Source organism: Homo sapiens, chromosome 1, assembly GCF_000001405.40.
Source record: "Homo sapiens chromosome 1, GRCh38.p14 Primary Assembly".
In the NCBI taxonomy this organism is placed as follows: Eukaryota; Metazoa; Chordata; class Mammalia; order Primates; family Hominidae; genus Homo; species Homo sapiens.
Genome location: NC_000001.11, coordinates 33,201,212 through 33,226,693, shown reverse-complemented (window position 1 = coordinate 33,226,693; position 25,482 = coordinate 33,201,212). Strand labels below are relative to the sequence as shown.

Here is a 25,482-nt window from a genome sequence, read left to right as displayed (position 1 = left end):
GGGATTTCACCATGTTGGCCAGGCTGGTCTTGAACTCCTGACCTCAGGTGATCCACCCACCTCAGCCTCTCAAAATGCTGGGATTACAGGCGTGAGCCATGGCGCCCGGCCTCATTTAGCATAACGTTTTCAAGGTCCATCCATATTGTAGCAGGAATCAGCACCTCGTTACTTTTTATGGCCAAATGATGTTTCATTATATGAATACACCACATTTTGTTTATCCATTCATCAGCTTATGGAGATTTGAATTGTTTCCATTTTTAGGCTATTATGAATAATGCTGCTATGAATATTCATGTGAAAGTTTTGTGGCCAATTTTTAAAAACCATCACTGACTCATGGGCAGGAGCTCCAAGGCTGGTGGACCCCAGACAAGATTTTGACATGTCTTAGCTCTATGCCCTTCAGAAAAATCATTCAATATTTCTGAGCTCATCTGCAAAATGGGACAACAAAATATTCCTGGACAGGTGAGGATTAATGAGCTCAAGGCTGTGAAGTAATTTTTTAAATCATAAACTGAAAAGCTTTGTAAGAGATCTACATGTTGCCATCCCAACAGCACTCCCTTTCTTGGTAAAAGAACCCTGATTTTGGTCAGGTATGTGCCTCCTGGGGGCTTGACACCCACCCTCCCACCACAGTAGACAAATCATAATCAGTCTAAACCAATCACAATAATCCATTGTCTTTGCCTATTTATGGTTTTGGAATGACCTAATGATGCATTACTGGTCAATGAGACAGAGGGGGTCTGCTGGGGAACACTGCAGTAAATGGGTGTCTTAGACCTAAAAATCATGCAAAAGAAAAAACCATCCCTTTTTAGCAAGACATCTTCATGTCTGCTTGTGAAACTGCATAGTAATCAGCTTGCTGAGTGAGATAAAATCTGAAGATTGACAACAAGTTGATGTCAGCATTGAGCTAACCCTGGAGAAGTCTTGCCTCTGGATGACTTATGTGAGGTAATAAATGTCTTTATTCTTTAAGTCACTTATAGTTGGGTTTCCTATAACTTGCAACGGAAAACATCCATACTTAAACACATCTCAGTATCTGTCTGTCTGTCTATCTACCCCATCTACTTTCAGAGAGGATTAGTCTTACCTTACAATAAAAGACACAGGGAGAAATCAATACAAGGGTAAACAAGCAACGATGGGAACTCATGCTTCTGGCATCATGGCATACCAAATACCCTGAATGACCCTTCTGATTAAAAGAGCTGTAGTTATTTTAAATACATATATATTTTTTAAATAAATCAGTTACATGAATCAGCTTACATTTAGGTAAAAGGAGAGCAACAACACAAAAAGTATAAGTAAGTAAAATATATAATATGTCAGAAGGTAATAATGCATAAAGAAAAATAATTTCAGGAAGAAGGATGAGGAGTACCAGGTGGAATAAGTGTGTTACCATTTCAAAGGGGTGGCTAAGGTAGGCCTCATTGGAATGGTGACATTTGAGAAAGGACTTAAAGATGATGAGGGCAAAAGTTATATAAATGTCTGAGAGAGAAGAATAATCAAGTAGAGGAAACAGCCAGTGTGAAGAGTCTATAGTGTGAATGTGTCTGGGATGTAAAAGGAATAACAAAGCCAGTACGTCTAGAATTAAATGAGTGAAGGGAAGAGCAGAAGATCAGTTCATAGTTGTAATGGATATGGAAATCTAGATGGGCAGTAGTTGTTGTCTTCTGGCTCTTGTGGTTTCTGTGGAGAAGTCCACTGTCAGTCCTATTGTAGATTCTTTGAATATATATCTTTTTCTCTCTGGCCTCTTTTAAGATTTTTCTCTTTGTCTTTGGCTTTCAGAAGTTTGACTACTGTGTGCCTGAATATGGTTTTCTTCGTATTCATTCTGTATAGAGTTCATAATTCTTAATGCATCTTATGACTTGATATCTTTCTTCAGTTTTGGAAATTCTCAACCATCATCTCTTCAAATATTGCATCTGCCCTATTTTCTCTTTCCTTTCACTTCGAGATTCCAATTATACATAATTTAGACATGTCCATGTGTTTCATGTGTCTCTTTCATCGTTATCTCTTATAGATCTCTTGCAATTATAGGTCTCTTCAAATTATACATAATTTAGACATGTCCACTGTGTTTCACATGTCTCTTACATTGTTATCTCTTATAGATCTCTTGCAATTATAGATCCCTTCCAATTATGTAAGAAACACATGAAACACAGTGGATACATTTAAATTATGTATCTCATATAGATAGCAATGTAAGAGACACAATGTTATTTGTATTTTTGCATCCTTTACACTCTCCTTACTTAGGTCTGGAAATTTGATCTATTTCCAGTTCACTAATTCTCTCTTCAGTTGTGTCTGATCTGTTGCCAAACCCATCTATTGAGTTTTTTATTTCAACTGCTACACTTTTTAGTTCTAGAGTTCATTTTTGATAATTTCTATAGTTTCCAGTTCTCTGTTGAAATTTCCCATCTTTACATTTAATTTATTTATCACTGTTACTTTAAAGTCAGTGCCAATATCTGGACTCCTATGGGTCTCTTTCTATGATTTTTTTTCTCTTGATGTTTTGGTAAATTCATGTCTCTTTGCATGTTCAGTAAATTTTGATTAAATTTTAACATTGTGTATGAAAAATGTAGAGATAATTTGAAACTCTGGATCATGTTCTTTTTCTCAAGAGAAGATACACTTTTATTTGTGACAGGTAGTAGAGACAGATCACCTTAATGCAGTCAGGGACTAAGCTGATCCAAAGCTGGTCTTCAGTCTCTTTTTTCTTTTTTTTTTTTTTTTTGAGATGGAGTTTCACTCTTTTTGCCCAGGCTGGAGTGTAGTGACGTGATCTTGGCTCACTGCAGCCTCCACCTCCCTGGTTCAAGCGATTCTCCCACCTCAGCCTCCCAAGTAGCTGGAACTACAGATGCATGCCACGATGTCCAGCTAATTTTTGTATTTTTAGTAGAGACAGGGTTTCACCATGTTGCCCAGGCTGATCTTGAACTCCTGACCGCAGGTGATTCACCCGCCTCAGCCTCCCAAAGTGCTGGGATTACAGGCGTGAGCCACCATGGCCAGCCTGGTCTTCAGTCTTTATGATGGCTAATCTACTTCTGATTCACCCAAAATTACAAACTCTGAAAAGTGCTATGAAGGAGGTAAATGGTAATAGAACAGAGAGTAATTTGGGATGGGAGAGAGAAATATATGCAGCTTTAGCTAAGTGTATTAATCCATTTTCATGCCGCTGATAAAGACATACCTGAGACTGGGCAATCTACAAAAGAAAGAGGTTTATTGGACTTACAGTTCCACGTGGGTGGGGAGGCCTCACAATCATGGCAGAAGGTAAAAGGCACATCTCACAGGGCAGCAGACAAGAGAAGAGAGCTTGTGCAGGGAAACTCCTGTGTTTTTTTGTTTTTTGGTTTTTGTTTTTTTGAGACAGAATCTTGCTCTATCACCAGGCTGGAGTGCAGTGGCTCAATCTCGGCTCACTGCAAGCTCTGCTTCCTGGGTTCAAGTGATTCTCCTGCCTCAGCCTCCTGAGTAGCTGGGACTACAGGCACACGCCACAACACCCAGCTAATTTTTGTATTTTTAGTAGAGACGGGGTTTCACCATGTTGTCCAGGATGGTCTTGATCTCCTGACCTCGTGATCCACCCACCTCAGCCTCCCAAAGTGCTGGGATTACAGACATGAGCCACCGTGCCCAGCTGGGAAACTCCTGTTTTTAAAACCATCAGATCTCATGAGACTTATTCACTCTCAAGAGAACAGCACAGAAAAGACCTGCCCCCATGATTCAATTACCTCCCACCAGGTCCCTCTCACAACACATGGGAATTCAAGATGAGATTTGGGTGGGGACACAGCCAAACCACATCACTAGGGTACTCAAAGAAGGCCTCTATGAGAGGTAACACTTGACTGCCAAACTGAATGATGAGAAGGAAACAGCCATGTGAAGATGTAGGTTCTTCCAGACAGATTAAGCAGCAAATGCAAGTGCCCTGAGGCTGAAATGAGCTTGGTAGCTTTGTGCAATAGAAAGAAGGCAGGATGACACTACAAGGTAGATAACAGCTAGCTATTAGAAGTCCTGGCAAAGAGTGTGGATTTCAGGCACAGTAGGAAATTACTGGAAAATTTTACACAAGCAGTGGCATGATGTGATTCATGTTTTTAAAAGATCACTCTGGCGAATGTGGAGAAATATTCATGGGAAGCAAAACTTGAAGCAAGGAGATCAGTGATATGACTATTTGCAGTAATGTAGATGAGAGATGCTGGCAGCCTGGACTAGGGTGCACTGCAAATGAAGAGAAATAGATGGATCTGAGATATATTTTGGAGGTAGGATGTACAGGGCTTGTTTCTAGGTTAGAAATAGGGTTGGTGGGGGGCCAAAAGGACTTGAGCAATTGGATGGATGGAGATGGGGAAGTATGGGGAAGGTATAGTTTTGGAGATAAAGGTCAAGCATTCCATTCTGATGCCATTTCCATGGTATACAAACAGCATTAATTTGATGGCTTTTGGTTGCAAGTGTCAAACTGGCTTAAGCAAACATGAGAAATTGTTGGCTAGTACTCTTGGGAAATACAGGCTCATGGACAGCTCATGAACCTATACTGGGCACCGTAACTGTCCTCAGAACACACATACTACCTCACTCTTTCTTTCTGTCTCCTTGTCGCCCTCTTCCTCCTCCACCTGCTTCTCCTTTTTCTCTCTACCTTCTTTGCTGGGATGATTTAATCCTCCACCCATGGAGGAAACTGTCTACAGTAGGAAGAAAGGCAGCCTTCCCACAGCCTATCCACTGCATCCTACTGCCCATCCACTGCATCCTACTGCCCCATCGTTCATGCTGGGTGAGATTATCCATCTGTTTAACCCTCTAGGAACAGATCAGACACACCTTAAAGTTAAGGACCAGTTCTTACTCCCTCTGAAACACCAGCTTAGTGAAATGAAAAATGAATTGTCTTTGGAATGAGCCAGTACCTGGCTCTGACATTTAGTAGTTGCTTGACCTTGGACAGCTCACTTAACCTCTCTGAGACTTATTTTCCTTATGTAAAAACTAGTGATTACAAATATATACTTGCGCAAGCTGTGAGGATTAAATAAGATCTTGATGAGAAATGCCTGGTATAGTTTGGGCACTCTATGTTTTGAAAACTATGGATATACAAAGACGGCAGCAACCCTGTGGGTATAATCTTGGTGATGTGGGTGTGGAGGAGTGAGGCTGGACTGGTTCCTGGCAGCAGGGAGGAAAAGCCAGTTTGGGACAGGGGTGCCTGAAACTCACTGTGCAGTTTCCTTGGGCAGGCCCACCCCAAACCTGGCTTCAGCCCAAGCCTGCCTGATGGGGGCCCTTCCCAGGATCCCCACCCACAGTCAGGACAGGTCCTGGCCCGTACCTCACTCCTCTGCCTGCGGCTGGGGTTTGCTTAAGCCTCTTACATTCCGGAGGGATTGATAGGATTCCAGAAGCCACACCCACCACCCACTGCCAATCCCAGGGTTAGGAGAGAAACACCGGGTCTTGCCCTCCACGCCTCGGGCTGATGGTCGGCACCCCGCCCCCCAGCACCACCCTTCACATACACACATGGCCCTGTCTCTTCTTCACAGAACAGCACAACTTTAAGGAACCCCAAGGAGCCCTGCCACCCTCTTTCTGCTGACCCTTGCCCTGTCAATCTGATGGGCCACACCCTTCCACATTCCCCACAGAGCATCAACCAGTTTCATTCCTTTCCTCCCTACGAAACCCACAAATTCAAAGAACTTGCCCAGAATTCGTGGCATTAGGAGAACCATGGCTATAGGGTGACCTAACGGTGGCTGAATGTACCCACACCCGCTGGGTTGCTTCACCCAGATTATAGCTCCAAAGACTCTGGGTTCCTGGGACCCCATGTTGGAAAACACTGTTGGACAGATGGGGAAACTGAGGACCAGAGAGCAAAAGGAACTCACCCAAGTCATAGTCAGGCCTGGCTGGGCAGTGGTAGAACCCAGGCCTGCGATGCTGCAAGCCAGACAGACTCCTGAGGCCTGCCCTCAGGACAAATCAGCCACAGATGGCGCCTCCACACCCACAGAGGCACCTTCTGGTGGGTGCATGACATAGTCCAACATGACTGTAGGGGGGTGGGTTTGAAGGAACTGGGGACAAACAGATGGCTCTGCCCTGACTCCCTGACTCCTCAGTGTGGCCTAGGACAAGTGGCTTAACCTCTCTGAGCTTCTGCGTCCACATCTTAAAGTGGAGATCAATCACAAGGTAACTGAGGGTTAGAGGATGTAATGCTTGTAAAGAGTTTAGCAGGAGGCCCAGCATATGGTAAGCAATCTACAAACAGCTGTTATTGCTATCATTATTAATAAAAACAATGGAATAGAAGTCTATAATCCTGCCTTAGCCATGGCACCAGATTGGAGATTGAGGGAAACTCAGGACAGGCCCCCAAACCCCCCACTGCAGAGTCCTGTGACCTTACAACCCCTTCCCTGCCCACCTTTCCTTCCCTACAAAGCCCACAGCCTCCGGGGCCTGGGCCCAGCACTCACCTTCTGCTCCACTGCGCTCTCCCTCTGCTGGCTCTGATGATTCATCCACCCCCAGGCCATAGTCATGCCCATCAGAAACCCATTTTTCCAGTTTCCCCTTCTGAGCCAGGGGCCTCTTCGGCCATGCCTTGTTCCCAGTATAAGGGAGGAGTAGGGGGCCCTGAGCTGGAAAAGGGTATCTAGGGGGAGTTGGGGTAGCAAGGAGGAAGACGGGAAAGGAAGTAAGGACAGAAACAATTTCCTCCCTTGGCTTGAATTAGTCTAGAGCAGCTCTGATCCCTGGGCAGGGATAGACCCAGGTTTTTCAGGTGTGAGAGATGGGGAGAGGTCAGGCTAGAGCTGTGATTTGCCACTGCTGAAAGCATCCTGGAAGTCCCTCCAGCACCTCAAACTCAGCAGAATTCAAGCAGAACTTACCCCATGTCAAAACTGCCCCTACTCCTTGGCTGTCCACACAGTCCCTCAGATAGGAAACCTGGGCATGCCCCGTCTCACCCCTCTCCTGGCCAGCACATCTCACCCACGGCCATGTGCTGGCCTTTTCTGCCTGGGAACACCATATCTTCCTGTTGGGCCCTGCTGCCCATGCTACCTGGTTAGGTCTTCACGAGTCCTCCCCTTCCTCGCTGGGCTCCTGCCCTGCAATCTCCCTCCATACTACCCAGTGAATCTTTCTTAGACACAGAATTAATCAAACATGTGGGCAGGCTTGAGACAGCAGGAGCCAACTTGTCTCTGGTCCGCCGATGAATGAATGGCGGGCAGAGGTTGGGAAGTGGGCTGGGCAGGCCCACTGTGGGCTCACACTCACTGAGCGCCAACCGTACACTTTACCGTCATCATACCCAGTGAAGGTGGGTACCACTGGACCCATTTCACAGATGGGGAAATTGAGGGTACAGAGGTCATGAATGTCACACCCAGCCCCCAGCCAGGAGATGACAGAGTTGGATTTTGAACTCCAGTCTAACTTCAGAGCCTGATTCTCTTCAATGTTTAGAGGTTATCTCTAGAGACTAAGGGGAAATAATTTGTGTTTGGGGCCCTTAAGGGTCAGTGAATCAAGTGGCTTCCTGAGAAAGGAAGGAAGTCTCTTGCGGGGGGGCAGGGGGTGGTGTATGTGTGTGTGTGTGTGTGTGTGTGTGTGTGTGTGTGTGTGTGTGTGTGTATGTCCAGCTCCTGGGCAGACCTGTGCGTCCAGCCTGAAAGTGAATGTTGCTGCCACTGCTGCCCTCCACTGACCAGAGGCAGAACTGTTCCAATCTCTTGGGAATCTGACTTCACAGGGGACTACATTGCCCAACTCCACGGACCCTGAGAAACCAGATGGGTTAAGGTTAAATCCCTAATATACAAAGAGTTCTTAAAAAGCAATAAGAAACAAACAAATTTAATCCAACAGAAAAAAATAGACAAAGGACATAAACAGGCCATTTCACAAAAGAAAACATCCAAATAGCCAATAAGCAGATGATCAATTTCACTAATAACCAAATAAATGATAATAAAAACAATAATGACAAGTTCACCTGTTAGATTACAAATTGACAATGCCTTCTTTTAGAAAGAGTGCTGAGAAACAGGCATTCATGTATTGTCAGTAGCAGTGAGATTGGTACTAGCTTTTTGGAGGGCAATATCAAAAATTTTAATATTCACATTTTTTTTTGAGACAGGGTCCAGGCTGGAGTGCAGTGGTGTGTGTAATCACAGGGCACTGCAGCCTCGACCTCCAGGGCTCAAGTCATCCTCCTGCCTCAGTTTCTCAAGTAGCGTGGACCATAGGCATACACCACCATGCCCAGCTAATTTTTAAATTTTTTGTAGAGGCAGTATCTCCCTATGTTGCCCAGGCTGATCTTGAACTCCTGAACTCGAGTGATCCTCCCACCTTGGCCTTCCAAAGTGCTGGATTATAGGCATAAGCTGCCATGCCCAGCCCCTACATTTTTCTACCTAACTGTTCTGCATCTAGAAATTTATCCTAAAAATGCAAAAGAATATATGTTTAAAGGTGTTTGCTGCTACAGTGTTTATGGTCCATCTATGGACTATAGAGAAAAATAGGGAGCCACTAAAAATAAAGACGTAACTGGATTCTGCTCATGTTCATGCTGATCACGTTTATACATTTATGTAAATTGTATATTTGTATGTGAGTATGTAATCAAAGTAAAACTTTGACAGTAATAAGATAAATATATTTTTTACATAGATATCCATGACATATTATGGAGTGAAAAACTGAGATTGCACCATAGTTAAAATACTATGATCCAGTTTACATAAAGTTGTGGGTGTGTGTTTGTGTGTGTGTGTGAACATAAGGAGTTATCTTGGAAGACTGTTACCAAAATCTTAATGGTGGCTACCTTTGTATAATAAGATTTCACTTAAATTTTACTTTCTCCTGTATACTTCTCTTATGGTTTAAATTTCTTTTTAATGAGTCTATATTATTTTAATAATGAAAACAATAAAGTTGTTTTCATTCTGAAGAAAGAGAACAGTCAGAAGATCTTGCTTCCCCAGGTGGGGGAGCCCAGTGGTAGGATGGGGGTGGCCCTGCTAGGACAGCAAGCTGGTGGTTGGGATATTAAGGTGGGGTGCAGAGATCTGGAGCTGCATCTGACCCAGTGTAAAGTTGCCTGGAATGAGTCCTAGATGGTCAGAGAGGAAAACGCCTGCTGGTCTAACACCCTCTGTGTGAGGCAGGAGTGACAGATTACATGGCTCAGATTGGGCAAGGGAATTGGCCAAGGTTACACAGTGAGCTAGTGCTGAATTGGGCACCAAAACCCAGGCCTTCAGACCCTAGGCCAGGGCTCCTTCCTCACTGCTCTCACTTCATAAGGTGGATCTGAAGGTCAGAAGTTAGATCAGGTTAGGCAGCAGGTTTCCACTGAGATGGTGCTGTTACTGATTTGCTGGGAGTACAATTATCTCCAATTTAGCCTCCTTAGCACTGAGCCAGGAAGTCATTGCTCCCTGGGAACATCTTTGTGCCACGTGCCTGTTCCTGATGCTGAGCTGGAAGCTGGGTTGTAAGGGATGGATGGTGGCCTCTCTCCATCCCCAGTCTTCCTGCCTCCAGAACCGCCTCAGCAATTCATTCTCTACACCACCCTAGGGGGATTCCCTGAAAACTCTACTCCCACGCGTCGCCTCTGCTTGGAAAAGCTCTCTGTGGTTCCCCACCGCCCTTATTCAAGGCCTTCAGTGATGTGAACCCACCCTCCATTTGCAGCCCTTGCCCAGCCCCTCCAGCCACCTGCACAGGGGGCCCATCCTATGTGCTGACTCTACCAAGTCTTTTTACCTTCCTGTACCTTGGCTCATGCAACTCTTTCTATTTATTATTATATTCCTGCCTTCTATAAGTGCGAAGCTTTTGATCCTTCTTTAAAATCATCCTAAATAAATGTTCTTTCCTCCAGGAAGCCTTCTTTGACTCCCAGAGGAATTTTTTTTTTCCTGTTTCTTTTTTTTTTTTTTTTTTTTGAGACAGAGTCTTGCTCTGTGGCCCACGCTGGAGTGCAATGGCACAATCTCGGCTCACTGCAACCTCTGCCTCCTGGGTTCAAGGGATTCTCCTGTCTCAGCCTCCTGAGTAGCTGGGATTACAGGCGCCTGCCACCACGCCTGGCTAATTTTTGTATTTTTAGTAGAGATGGGGTTTCACCATGTTGGTCAGTCTGGTCTCGAACTCCTGACCTCATGATCTGCCCGCTTCAGCCTCCCAAAATGCTGGGATTACAGGTATAAGCCATCGCGCCCGGCCCTTTTTTCTGTTTCTTAAGAGCATACTTTATTCATCTTTGTACCGTCTGTGGCTAGCCCTGTGCTTAGCATACAGTGAGCAGACAAGAGATGCTGGTCAAATGAAGAGTCAACTGCATTTAATTAAACTGTCTCATTTTCCCCTCCTCTCCCACCCCTTTTACTTTAGAATGCAAGGGATGGAAAAACTCTCTAAACTTTTTCAGAGGAGAAGAATATAGGAGGTCTTACATTTCACTTTCAGTATAAGTACAGCACTGGTCTTAGAGTTAAAGTATTATGGAAACGTTTGTTTTTATAAATATATCACAGGTTGGAGATACTGACATATAATAAGATAAAATTATTAGCCCAAGGTTTAGTTGGCAACACCTTGACTGTATTTACTTTTATAATCATGAGAAACATTGCTTCAAACCATGTTTGTTATACATAATAAGCATATATAGGCCCCTGGTTTATGGCAGAAAACCTTTTTCAAAAAATTCGTGACATTAAGAAAACATTACAAGCATCAGCATATTCCTATATATGTGTGCTCAATTTCAAAATTTATTTGAGGATTTGTAGAAAATATCACTCTGAATGTGACTGTGAACTTCATTTTTGCAACACTACCAGGGTACAGAATTTTTATATTGATTTTTAAATTTTTAAAAAATGTTAGTGACTATGGATACTCCATATTCATGGAGTACATAGGGCAATGTACTGATCCAGGCACTCAATGTGTAATAATCACATCAGGGTAATCAGGGTATCCATTGCCTCGAGCATTTATCATTTCTTTGTGTTAGGAACATTCCAATATCACTCTTTTAGTTATTTTTAAATATACAATAAATTACTGTTGACCATAGTCACTCTGTTGTGCTATCAAATACTAAAATACTAGGATATTATTCATTCTATATAAGTATATTTTTGTGCCCATTAACCATTCTCCCCTACCCCACCCTACCCCAAGCTTCCTTCTCAGCCTTTGGTGACCATCATTCTACTCTCTATCTTCATGAGTTCAATTGTTTTAATTTTTAGCTCCCACATATAAGTGAGAACATGAGAAATTTGTCTTTCTGTGCCTGGCTTATTTCACTTACATAATGTCTTCCAGTTCCATCCATGTTGTTGCAAATGACAGAATTTAATTATTTTTATGGATGAATAATATTCCACTGTGTACATGTACAACATTTTCTTTATTTATTCATCTATTTGGGGACACTTAGATTGATTCCAAATCTTGGCTATTGTGCACAGTGCTGCAATAAACATGGGAGCGCAGATATCTAATCAATACACTACTTTCCTTTATTTGGATGTATACCTACTAGTGGAATTGCTAGATCATATGGTAGTTCTATCTTTAGTTTTTTTGAGGAACCTTCAAACTACTCTCCATAGTGACTATACTAATTTACACTCCCAACAGTGTACGAGGGTTCCCCTTTCACCATATCCTCACCAGTATTTGTTATTGCCTGTCTTTTGAGTGAAAGCCATTTTAACTGGGGTGAGATGATATCTCATTGTAGTTTTCATTTGCATTTCTCTGATGATTAATAATGTTGAGCATTTTTTTCAAACACCTATCAATCATTTGTAGGTCTTCTTTGGAGAAATATCTATTTGGATCTTTTGCCCACTTTTTAATCCAATTACTTCATTTTTTCTGATCAAGTTGTCTGAGCTCCTTATATATTCTGGTTGTTAATCCCTTTCAGATGGGTAGTTTGCAAATATTGCCTTTCATTGTGTGAGTTGTCTCTTTACTTTGCTGATTGTTTCCTTTGCTGTGCAGAAGATTTTTAGCTGGATGTGATCTCATTTGTCCGTTTTTGCTTTGGTTGTCTGTGCCTTTGAGGTATTATTTGAGAAATCTTTGCCCAGACCAATGTCCTAGAGAGTTTTCCCAATGTTTCCTTTTAGTAGTTTCACAGTTGGGGTCTTAGATTTAAGTCTTTAATCCATTCTTACTTGATTATTGTATATGGCAAGAGATAGGGGTCTACTTTCATTCTTCTGCATATGGAGATCCTGTTTTCCTAGCTCCAAATATTGAAGAGACTTTCCTTTCCCCAGTGAATGTTCTTAGCACCTTTGTGAAAAATGAGTTCACTGTAGATGTCCCATAGGAATTTTTAGGGGTGTGCATTCAGCTATTCCTGTATGTTTTCCCATGGCTTCAGCTTCTATCTTATTTTGTGTCTTTCAATTTACATGCTTTTTATTTGCTTCTTTTTTCTTATTTCACATTTTTAATTGGATTGATTTCTTTTTAATTCTATTCTTTTTTTCCCTGAACTAGCATGAAGTTAAGTATACATCATGCACTCTTAAAATCTAGAACTCAGTAAAATCCCTAGACTTTTCCAAACCAATACAAAATCAGGTGTTTTCGTTCAATCTTGTTTTTTGTTGTTGTTGTTGTTTTGTTTTTTTTGTTTTGTTTTGTTTTGGTTTGCTTTGGTTTTTTTGAGACAGAGTTTCTGTCTGTTGCCAGGCTGGAGTGCAGTGGCGTGATCTCAGTTCACTGCAACCTTTGCCTCCCGGGTTCAAGCGATTCTCCTGCCTCAGCCTCCCAAGTAGCTGGGACTACAGGCACATGCCACCACGCCCAGTTAATTTTTATATTTTTAGTAGAGATGGGGTTTCACCATGTTGGCCAGGATGGTCTCGATCTCTTGACATCGTGATCCACCCGCCTCGGCCTCCCAAAGTGCTTGGATTACAGGCGTGAGCCAACACGCCTGGCCTCAATCTTGTTTTAAAACCCCCAAAATAGTAATTATTATTATTATTACTATAGTAATCAATACTTATTTAAATTCACCAACACATTTACCAGCTTCTTTGTTCACTTTACTGCTTCCCACCCTTCTTCTGGGATTTTTTCTAACTGATTTATTGAAATACAATTGACAAACAATAAACTGCCCATACTTAAAGTGAACAATTTTGAGAGGTTGTTATGTATATATGTATGCATCTGTGAAATCATCGCCGTGATTAAGAAAATGAACTTCAGGCTGGGCGTAGTGGCTCATGCCTGTAATCTCAGCACTTTAGGAGGCTGAGGTGGGTGGGTCACCTGAGGTCAGGAGCCAAGATCGCACCACTGCACTCCAGCCTGGGCAACAGAGTGAGACTCCATCTAAAACAAAACAAAACAAAATTCTAAAAATTTATATGAATAGTATAATACATACATACTCTTTTTGTCCATCTTCTTTCACTCAGCACAATTATTTTGAGATTCAGCCATGCTATTGCACATATAAAATTTATCCTTTTTATTGCCAAGGAGCATTTCCATTGTATGGATGTGCCACATTTAGTTTATTCATTCATCCATGGATTTGGGACATTAGGGTTACTTCTAAATAAATTGTGACTATTATAAATAAGGCAGCAATAAACATTTGTGTACAAATCTTTGCATGCACGTACGCTTTCATTTCTCATATAGTTCGGCTGTCTTCTCCAAATCTCATGTTAAAATGTAATTCCCAGTGTTGGAGGTGAGGCCTGAAGGTCAGAGATGTTTGGATCATGGGGGAGTATCCCTCATGAATGGCTTAGTGCCATTCCCTTGGTGATGAATGAGTTCACACAAGATCTGGTTGTTTAAAAGTGTGTGGCACCTCCCCACTGCACCCCACCACCTCTCTGTCTTACTCCTGCTCTTGCCATGTGATAGGCCAGCTTCCCCTTTGTCTTCTGCCATGATTGTAAGTTTCCTGAGGCCTCACCAGAAGCCAAGCAGATGCCTAGCGCCATGCTTCCTGTACAGCCTGCAGTACTGTGACTCAATTAAACCACTTTTCTTTATAAACTATCCAGTCTTGGGTACTTCTTTACAGCAACACACCAATAGCCTAATATAGGTACCTAGAAGTGGAATGGCTCAATATACGTTAGAGATACCTAGGTAAATTATTGAGAAACTGCCAAACTGTTTTCCAAAATGGCTATCATACTAGTCATTCTCACACTGCTATGAAGAAATACCTGGGACTGGATAATTTATAAAGAAAAGAGGTTTAAGTGGCTCACAGTACTGCAAGCTGTATAGGAAGCTTGGCTGCATCTGCTTCTGGGGAGGCCTCAGGGAGCTTTGACTCATAGTGGAAGGTGAAGGGGAAGCAGGCATGTCTTACATGGTTGAAGCAGGAGGAACAGAGAGAAGGCGGCGGTGCTACACACTTTTTAACAACCAGATCTCATGAGAATTCACTATCGTAATGACAGCTCCAAGGGAGATGATGTTAACCATGAGAAACAGTCCCTGTGATCCAATCACTTCCCACCAGATCCCACCTCCAACACCAGGGATTACAATTGAATGTGAGATTTGGGTGGGGACACAGATGAAAACCATCTCAGATGTACATTTGATATTCCCACCAGCAATATAAGAATTATCAAGACCAAATCTCCTTTGGATTGGTGTACCTGAAAGTGATGGGGAGAATGGAACCAAGTTAGAAAACATTCTTCAGGATACTATCCAGGAGAACATCCCCAACCTAGCAAGGCAGGCCAACATTCAAATTCAAGAAATGCAGAGAACACCACAAAGATTACTCCTTGAGAAGAGCAACCCCGAGACACATAAATGTCAGATTCACCAAGGTTGAAATGAAGGAAAAAATGCTAAGGGCAGCCAGAGAGAAAGGGCGGGTTACCCACAAAGGGAAGCCCATCAGACTAGCAGATCTCTCTGCAGAAACCCTGCAAACCAGAAGAGAGTGGGGGTCAATATTCAACATTCTTAAAGAAAAGAATTTTCAACCCAGAATTTCATATCCAGCCAAAATAAGCTTCATAAATGAAGGAGAAATAAAATCCCTTACAGTCAACCAAATGCTGAGAGATTTTGTCACCACCAGGCCTGCCTTACAAGAGCTCCTGAAGGAAGCACTAAACATGGACATGAACAAACGGTACCAGCCACTGCAAAAACATGCCAAATTGTAGAGACCATCAACGCTATGAAGAAACTGCATCAATTAAACAGTGAAATAACCAGCTAGCATCATAATGGCAGGATCAAATTCACACATAACAATATTAACCTTAAATGTAGGCCTGGCGCGGTGGCTCACATCTGTAATCCCAACACTTTGGGAGGCTAGCGAGGGCAGATCACAAGGTCAGGAGATTGAGACCAACCTGGCTAACATGGTGAAACCCCATCTCTACTAAAAATACAAAAAATTAGCCAGGCGTGGTGGTGGGCACCTGTAGTCCCAGCTACTCGGGAGGCTGAGGCAGGAGAATGGTGTGAACCTAGGAGGCAGAGCTTGCAGTGAGCCAGGATTGTGCCACTGCACTCCAGCCTGGGTGACAGAGTGAGTCTCTGTCTCAAAAAAAAAAAAAAATTAACCTTAAATGTAAATGAGCTAAATGTCCCAATTAAAAGACACAGACTGGCAAATTGGATAACGGGTTAAGACCCATCGGTGTGCTGTATTCAGGAGACACATCTCACATGCAAAGACACACATAGGCTCAAAATAAAGGGATGGAGGAAGGTCTACCAAGCAAGTGGAAAGAAAAAAAAGTAGGGGTTGCAATCCTGGGTCTCTGATAAAACAGACTTTAAACCAACAAAGATCAAAAGAGATGAAGAAGGCCATTACATAGTGGTAAAGGGATCAATTCACCAAGAAGAGCTAACTATCCTAAATATATATGCACCCAATACAGGAGCATCACGATTCATAAAGCAAGTTCTTAGAGACCCACAAAGAGACTTAGACTCCCAGGCAATAATAATGGGAGACTTTAATACCCCACTGTCAATATTAGACAGATCAATGAGACAGAAAATTAACAAGGATATCCAGGACTTGAACTCATCTCTGGACCAAGCAGACCTAATAGACATCTACAGAATTCTTCACCCCAAATCAACAGAATATACATTCTTCTCAGCACCACATTGCACTTATTCTAAAATTGACCTCATAATTGGAAGTAAAACACTCCTCAGCAAATGTAAAAGAACAGAAATTACAACAAACTGTCTCTCAGACCACAGTACAATCAAATTGGAACTCAGGATTAAGAAACACTCAAAACTGCACAACTACATGGAAACTGAACAATCTGCTCCTGAATGACTACTGGGTAAATAATGAAATGAAGGCAGAAATAAAGATGTTCTTTGAAACCAATAAGAACAAAGACACAACATACCAGAATCTCTGGGGCACATTTAAAGCAGTGTGTAGAGGGAACTTTATAGCACTAAATACCCACAAGAGAAAGCAGGAAAGATCTAAAATTGACACCCTAACATCACAATTAAAACAACTAGAGAAGGAAGAGCAAACAAATTCAAAAGCTAGCAGAAGGCAACAAATAACTAAGATCAGAGCAGAACTGAAGGAAATAGAGACAAAACAAACCCTTCAAAAAAAAATCAATGAATCCAGGAGCTGGTTTTTTGAAAAGATCAACAAAATTCATAGACCACTAGCAAGACTAATAAAGAAGAAAAGAGAGAAGAATCAAATAGATGCAATAAAAAATGATAAAGGGGATATCACCACCGATCCCACAGAAATACAAACTACCATCAGGGAATATTATAAACACCTCTATGCAAATAAACTAGAAAACCTAGAAGAAATGGATAAATTCCTGGACACATACACCCTCTCAAGACTAAACCAGGAAGAAGTTGAATCTCCAAATAGACCAATAACAGGCTCTGAAATTGAGGCAATAATTAATAGCTTACCAACCAAAAAAAGTCCAGGACCAGACGGAGTCACAGCCGAATTCTACCAGAGGTACAAAGAAGAGCTGGTATCATTCCTTCTGAAATTATTCCAATCAATAGAAAAAGAGAGAATCCTCCCTAACTCATTTTATGAGGCCAGCATCATCCTGATACCAAAGCCTGGCAGAGACACAACAACAAAAAAAGAGAATTTTAGGCCAATATCCCTGATGAACATCAATGCAAAAATCCTTAATAAAATACTGGCAAACCGAATCCAGCAGCACATCTAAAAGCTTATCCACCACGATCAAGTCAGCTTCATCCCTGGGATGCAAGTCTGGTTCAACATACACAAATCAATAAGTGTAATCCATCACATAAACAGAACCAACGACAAAAACCACATGATTATCTCAATAGATGCAGAAAAGGCCTTTGACAAAATTCAACAGCCTTTCATGCTAAAAATTCTCAATAAACTAGGTATTGATGGAACATATCTCAAAATAATAAGAGCTATTTATGACAAACCCACAGCCAATATACTGAATGGGCAAAAACTGGAAGCATTCCCTTTGAAAACTGGGACAAGACAAGGATGCCCTCTCTCACCACTCCTATTCAACATAGTATTGGAAGTTCTGGCCAGGGCAATCAGGCAGGAGAAAGAAATAAAGGATATTCAATTAGGAAAAAAGGAAATCAAATTGTCTCTGTTTCCAGATGACATGATTGTATATTTAGAAAACCCCATCATCTCAGCCCAAAATCTCCTTAAGCTGATAAGCAAATTCAGCAAAGTCTCAGGATACAAAATCAATGTGCAAAAATCACAAGCATTCCTATATACCAATAACAGAGAGCCAAATCATGAGTGAACTCCTATTCACAATTACTACAAAGAGAATAAAATACCTAGGAATCCAAATTACAATGGATGTGAAGAACCTCTTCAAGGAGAATTACAAACCACTGCTCAACAAAATAAAAGAGGACACAAACAAATGGAAGAACATTCCATGCTCATGGATAGGAAAAATCAATATCGTGAAAATGGCCATACTGCACAAGGTAATTTATAGTTTCAATGCTATCCCCATCAAGCTACCACTGATTTTCTTTACAGAATTGGAAAAAAACGACTTTAAATTTCATATGGAACAAAAAAAGAGCCCACAGAGCCAAGACGATTCTAAGCAAAAAGAACAAAGCTGGAGGCATCACGCTACCTGACTTCAAGCTAAACTACAAGGCTACAGTAACCAAAACAGCATAGTACTGGTACCAAAACAGATATATAGATCAATGGAACAGAACAGAGGCCACAGAAATAACACGTCTACAACCATCTGATATTTGACAAACCCCACAAAAACAAACAATGGGGAAAGGATGCCCTATTTAATAAATGGTGCTGGGAAAACTGGCTAGCCATATGTAGAAAGCTGAAACTGGATCCCTTCCTTACACTTTATACAAAAATTAACTCAAGATGGATTAAAGACGTAAAACCATAAAAACCCTAGAAGAAAACCTAGGCAATACCATTAAAGACATAGGCATGGGCAAAGACTTCATGACTAAAACACCAAAAGCAATGGCAACAAAAGCCAAAATAGACAAATGAGGACTAGTTAAACTAAAGAGCTTCTGCACAGCAAAAGAAACTATCATCAGAGTGAACAGGCAATCTACAGAATGGGAGAAAATTTTTGCAATCTATCCATCTGACAAAGGGCTAATATCCAGAATCTACAAAGAACTTAAACAAATTTATAAGAAAAAAAACAACCCCATCAAAAAGTGCAAAGGATATGAACAGACACTTCTTAAAAGAAGACATTTATGCAGCCAACAGACATATGAAAAAATGCTCATCATCACTGGTTATCAGAGAAATGCAAATCAAAACCACAATGAGATACCATCTCACGCCAGTTAGAATGGCGATCATTAAAAAGTCAGGAAACAACAGATGCTGGAGAGGATGTGGAAAAATAGGAAGGTTTTTACACTGTTGATGGGAGTGTAAATTAGTTCAACCATTGTGGAAGACAGTGTGGTGATTCTTCAAGGATCTAGAACTAGAAATACCATTTGACCCAGCAATCTCATTAGTGGGTATATACCCAAAGGATTATAAATCATGCTGCTATAAAGACACATGCACAGGTATGTTTATTGCGGCATTATTCACAATAGCAAAGACTTGGAACCAACCCAAATGTCCAACAATGATAGATTGGATTAAGAAAATATGGCACATATACACCATGGAATACTATGCAGCTATAAAAAAGTATGAGTTCATGTCCTTTGCAGGGACGTGGATGAAGCTGGAAACCATCATTATCAGCAAAATATCACAAAGACAGAAAACCAAACACCGCATGTTCTCACTCATAAGTGGGAGTTAAACAATGAGAACACATGGACACAGGGAGGGGAGCATCACACACCGGGGCCTGTTGGGGAGTGGGGGGCTGGGGGAGGGATAGCATTAGGAGAAATACCTAATGTAAATGATGAGTTGATGGGTGCAGCAAACCAACATGGCACATGTATATCTGTGTAACAAACCTGCACGTTGTACACATGTACCCTAGAACTTAAAGTATAATTTTATAAAAAGGAATTGTCAAGTTTCTCCATATCCTCCCCAACAGATGGTATGATCTTAGACATTACAACAGGTGCATAGTAGTATCTTATTGTAGTTTTAATTTGCATCTCCTTAATGATTAATGATGTCGAACATATTTTATATACTAATTTTCCATCTGCATATATTATTTAAGTGTCTGAAAGTTTTTTGCCCATTTTGGGAGAGATGTGTGTTTTACTATTATTGAGTTTTCAGAGTTCTTTATACATTCTAGTTACAAGTCCTTTATCAGATATGTGATATGCAAATATTTTTCCCCAGTCTGTGGCTTGTCTTTTCGTTTTTATAATAGTATTTTTTTCTCTTTTTACAGATGGGGTCTCACTGTGTTGGCCAGGCTAGAGTACAGTAGTTATTCACAGGTGCAATCATAACACACTGCAGCCTCAAATTCCTGGGCTCAAGTGATCCTCCCATCTCAGCTTCATGAGTAACTGAGACTACAGGTTCATATCACCATGCTTAGCTATAATAGATTCTTTTGAATTACAAATTTTCTTAACTTCGATGAAATCCAGTTTATCAATTTTTTCTTGTTTGTTGTAGTCATTTTTTTTTTGTTTTGGTATTATGTCCAATAAATCTTTGCCCAACTCAAGGCCCATAAAATTATCTTATATGTTTTCTTCTAGAAGTTTTATATTTTTATGTTGTACACTTAAGCAGGAAAGATCTAAAATCAACAGGTGCATGGTAGTATCTTATTGTAGTTTTCATTTGCATCTCCTTAATGATTAATGATGTCAAACATTTTTATATGCTAATTTTCTATGATACATTTGAAGTTATGGCTCAAGTTTTATTTTTGTTTTGTTTTTGCATTTGCACATGAATATATAATTTTTCCAATATTATTTGTTTTAAAAGATTATCTTTTCTCAAATGAATGGCCTGCACATCTTTGTCAAAAATCAGTTGACTATATAAACACGGGTCTATATTTGGAATCTGTACTCTGTTCTATTGATCTATTTGTCTATCTTTTATTTATTTATTTTTTTTTTGAGACAGAGTCTTGCTCTGTCGCCCAGTATGGAGTGCAGTGGTGCGACCTTGGCTCACTGCATCCTCTGCCTCCCAGGTTCAAATGATTCTCCTGCTTCAGCCTCCCAAGTACCTGAGATTACAGGCACCCACCACCACATCTGGCTAATTTTTTTGTATTTTTAGTAGAGACAGGGTTTCATGATGTTTGCCAAGCTGGTCTCAAACTCCTGACCTCAGGTGATCCACTCACCTCAGCCTCCCAAAGTGCTGGGATTACAGGTGTGAGATACCACACCTGGCCCTGTTTGTCTATCTTGATACCAATACCAAAATATCTTGACTACTGTAGCTTTATAATGTCATAAAGTCAAATAAGTCCTTCAACTTTCTTCTTTTTTTTCAAAGTTATTTTTTTCTATTTTAGATCCTTTGCATTTTTTTCTTTTTTGAGATAGGGTCTTTATTTGTTGCCCAGGCTGAAGTGCAGTTGTGCAATCATAGCTCAGTGCAGCCTCCATCACCTGGGCTCACGTGATCCTCCCACCTCAGCTTCCCAAGTATCTGGGACCACAGGCGTGCACCACCATGCCTGGCTAACTTTTTAAATTTTTAGTAGAGATGAGGTCTCACTATGTTGCTCAGGCTGGTCTTGAACTTCTGAGCTCAAGTGATCCTCTTGCCTCAGCCTCCCAAAGTGCTGACGTTATAGTTGTGAGCCGCTGTGCCCAGCCATTCTCTGCATTTTTTAGAATTTTAAAATTAGCTCATCCATTTGTAAATACACACACACACACACAAAAACACACAGGATTTGCATTAGGATTCTCTTAAATATATAGATGAATTTTGAGAGAGTTGACATCTTAGCAGTATTGAGTCTTCTAATCTAAGAACATGGTATATCTTCCCATTTATTTGAGTCTTTAATTTCTCTCAGCAATGTTTTGTAGTGTTCAATATATAGGTCTTCCACATATCTTGTAGATTCATCCCTAAGTATTTCCTATATTTTAAGGCTATTATAAAAGATGTTTTTAAATTTTAATTTCTGATCGTTTGTTGCTAATATATAGAAATACAATAGATTCTTACATATTAATTTTGTATCCTGAAGCCTTACCAAACTCACTTCTTATTCCAATGGGACTGGCAAGAACCCCTAGTACAGTAACGATGAATAAAAGAGATGAGTGCAGACATCCTTGATTTGATTCTGATCTTAGAGGAAAGCATTCAGTCTTTCACCATGAAGTATGCTGTAAACTGTAGGTTTTTCATAAATGCCATTTGAAATTGAAGAAGACACAACTAAATGGAAAGACATCCTATGTTCATGGATTAGAATTAATATTGTTAAAATGTTCATACTACTGAATTCCATATACAGGTTTATTCCAATCCCTATGAAAGTTTCAATGGCATTCTTTACAGAAATAGGAAAAGCAATTCTAAAATTTGTATGGAACCACAAAAGACCACAAGTAGCCAAAGCAATTTAGAGAAAGAAAAACAAAGTTGAAGGCATCACATTTCCTGATTTTTAATTATATTATAAAGGTATGGTAATCAAAACAGTATAGTACTGACATAAAAGACAGACACATAGACAAATGGAACAGAATAGAGAGCCCAGAAATAAACTCAGTCATATATGGTCAACTAATTTTTGACAAGGGTACCAAGAAGACATAATGGGGAAAAGACAGCCTCTTCAATAGATGGTGCTGAAAAACTAGATTTCCACATGCCAAAAAATGTGGAAACTGGACTCTTATATTATACAGAAAAAAATCAACTCAAAATGGACAAAGGACCTAAATATAAGAACCAAAACCATAAAATTTCTAAAAGAAAACACAGAGGAAAAGCTCCTTGACTTTGGCCTTGGTAATAATTTTCTGGATATCACACAAAAAGCTCAGGCTATAAAAGCAAAAATAAATAAATGGGACTACATCAAACCAAAGAGCTTCTTCACAGCAGGGGAAACAGTCAGTAAAAGGAAAAGGCAGCATACAAAATGGGAGAAAATGTTTGCAAACCGTACATCTGATATCCAAAATATATAAGAAACTCAAACAATTCAATAGCAAGAAACAATAGCAAGAAAACAAATAACCCAATTAAAAAATGCGCAAAGGACTGAAAAGACATTTCTTCAAAGAAGACATTAAAATGGTCAATACGTGTATGAAAAGGTGTTCAACATCACTAATCATCAGGGAAATGCGAATCAAAACCACAAGGAGATATCACCTCACACCTGTTAAGATGGTTATTATCAAAAAGATGAGAGATAACACATGTTAAGAGTGTGGAGAAAAGGGAACCCTTGTACACTGTTGGTGGGAATGTAGATCGGTACAGCCATTGTGGAAAACAGCATGGAGGTTTCCAAAGAAATTAAAAATAGAAGTACTATATGACCCAGCAATCCTTCTTGTGGGTATATACAAAAATGAAATAAAATCATCATCTCATAGAAACGTCTGTACTCCCATGTTCATTGCAGCATTATTCACAATAGCCGTGATATGAAAACAAACTAAAATATCCATCGATGGATGAATGGGTAAAGAAACCATGGTGCACATATATGATGGAATATCATTCAGCCTTAAAAAAGGAGATCCTGCCATTTACCACAACATGGATGAACTTGGAAGACATTATGCTAAATGAAATAAGCCAAACACAGAAAGGAAAATATTGCATGATCTCACTTATATGTGGAATCATCAAAAAAAAGAAAAGTCAGAAAGATGGAGAATAAAATGGTAGATGGGAAGGAGTAAATAGGGAGATGTAGATCCAAGGATACAGTGTTGTAGCTATGTAGGATGAACAAATCTGGAGATCTAATGTAACACATAAGGACTATCACTAATAATATTGTATTATATTTGAGATTTTTGTTGAAAGAATGGATTTTAGGTGGTATTCCCACAAAAGGAAAGGAGTAACTATTTGAGATGATGGATATGTTAATTTGCTTGACTACATTAACAACTTCGCCAAATGTATGTATACCAAACATCATATTTAAGGTATTTATATACCTTAAATATATACAATAAAAATTTTAAATAAAAAAGTGATCTTCACTGGGCTGAGGAACTCCACTATTGTTCCTAGCACATTGAGTGTTTTAATCAAGATTGAGTGCTGGCTTTTATAAATTTTTTTTCTGCATCAATTAAGATGATTATATAGCTTTTCTTTCTCAGCCTGTCAACATGATAAATTATAGTGATTGATTTGGGATGCTTAAACCAATCTTACATTCCCGAGGCATAGTATCCTTTTGGTCATGATATAGCGTCTTTTTTTTTTTTTTTATGGAGTCTCGCTCTGTCACCCAGGCTGGAGTGCAGTGGCGCAATCTCGGCTCACTGCAAGCCCCGCCTCCCGGGTTCACGTCATTCTCCTGCCTCAGCCTCCCCAGTAGCTGGGACTACAGGCGGCCGCCACCATGCCTGGCTGATTTTTTTTGTATTTTTAGTAGAGACAGGGTTTCACCATGTTAGCCAGGATGATCTCAATCTCCTGACCTTGTGATCCGCCCGCCCTCGCCTCCCAAAGTGCTGGGATTACAGGCGTGAGCCACCACGCCCGGCCTGATACAGTGTCTTCTTTATATATTGTTAAATTCAACCTGCTGGTTTTATAGGATGAATTGGAAAATATTCCCTCCTCTTCAATTTTATGGAAGATTTTATTTAGAATTTGTATTATTTCCTTCTTATATGTTTGGAAGAATTCCTCAGTGAAGCTGTCTGGACCTGGAGTTTTATTTATGGAAAGGCTTTTAAATACGAATTCAATTTATGTAATATTTGAGGGCTATTCAGGTTATTTATTTCTTCTTGAGTGAACTTTGGTAGTTTTTATCTTTTGAGGAATTTGTCCATTTCATCTAAGTTATCCAACTTCTTGGCACAAAGGTGCTCATAGTACTCCCTTATTATCCTTTTGATGTATTTAGAATCTGTGGTGATGTCACCCTTTCATTCTTGGTATTGAAATAATTTATATTTTCTTTCCCTTTTTTCCCAAATCAGTCTGGATAGAGATTTGTCAATTTTACTGGTCTGCTCTATGAACCAGCTTTTGTTGTCATTGATGTTCTGTATCGTTTTTGTTTTCTATTTCATTGAATTTTGCTTTCATCTTTATCATTTATTTCTTCTGCTTACTTTACATTTAATTTTCTCTTTTTGTTGTTTCTTAAGGTGAAAGCTAAGGCCCTTGATTAATATAGAGCATTTAGTGCTATAACTTTCCTTCTATGTACTATGTAGCAGCATCCTACAAATTTTAATATGTGTATTACCATTTTAATTCCATTCAAAATATTTTAATTTGTCTTTTGATTTCTTCTTTAGCCCATGGATTGTTTAGAAGTATGTTATTCAGTTTCTAAATACTTGCAGATTTTCCAGAGATCTTTCCATTATTGACTTTTAATTTTATTTCATTGTTGTCAGGAAATATACTTTATATGACTTGAGTTCATTTAAATTTATCAATCCTTGTTTCATGCCCCAGAATATGGTCTGTCTTAGTAAATGTTCCGTGTTAGCTGAAATTAATGTGTACTTTGCTGATGTTGGATGAAGTGTTCTATAAATGTCTATTAGATCAAGTTGGCTGACAGTATTGTTCAACTCCTGTATCTTTACTGATCTATGCCTACTCTTTCTATCAACTTCTAATAGAAG

The 25,482-nt window shown here is 40.2% G+C and overlaps 1 protein-coding gene across 1 annotated transcript in view, besides 4 other annotated features; it reads right to left on the bottom strand.

Annotated features, from left to right (window-relative positions):
• Window positions 1-25,482, bottom strand: part of ZNF362 (zinc finger protein 362) — a 173,198-nt gene that overhangs the window by 74,026 nt on the left and 73,690 nt on the right. The gene's annotated exons all lie outside the window — the stretch shown is intronic.
• Window positions 5,767-6,551: an enhancer, noted in NCBI's record as "H3K4me1 hESC enhancer chr1:33685744-33686528 (GRCh37/hg19 assembly coordinates)". NCBI's record gives its function as "activates a minimal SCP1, AML or CMV promoter by ChIP-STARR-seq in naive H9 embryonic stem cells {active_cell/tissue: H9 hESC(naive)}" and the evidence as "EXISTENCE:reporter gene assay evidence [ECO:0000049][PMID:30033119]".
• Window positions 6,686-7,286: an enhancer, noted in NCBI's record as "H3K4me1 hESC enhancer chr1:33685009-33685609 (GRCh37/hg19 assembly coordinates)". NCBI's record gives its function as "activates a minimal SCP1, AML or CMV promoter by ChIP-STARR-seq in primed H9 embryonic stem cells {active_cell/tissue: H9 hESC(primed)}" and the evidence as "EXISTENCE:reporter gene assay evidence [ECO:0000049][PMID:30033119]".
• Window positions 14,554-14,613: a silencer, noted in NCBI's record as "silent region_620". NCBI's record gives its function as "represses an Ori minimal core promoter by ATAC-STARR-seq in GM12878 lymphoblastoid cells {active_cell/tissue: GM12878}" and the evidence as "EXISTENCE:reporter gene assay evidence [ECO:0000049][PMID:35858748]".
• Window positions 15,388-15,557: an enhancer, noted in NCBI's record as "experimental_7061 CRE fragment used in MPRA reporter constructs". NCBI's record gives its function as "activates a minimal promoter by MPRAs in K562 erythroleukemia cells, with activity observed for the introgressed 1:33676823 variant allele {active_cell/tissue: K562}" and the evidence as "EXISTENCE:reporter gene assay evidence [ECO:0000049][PMID:34662402]".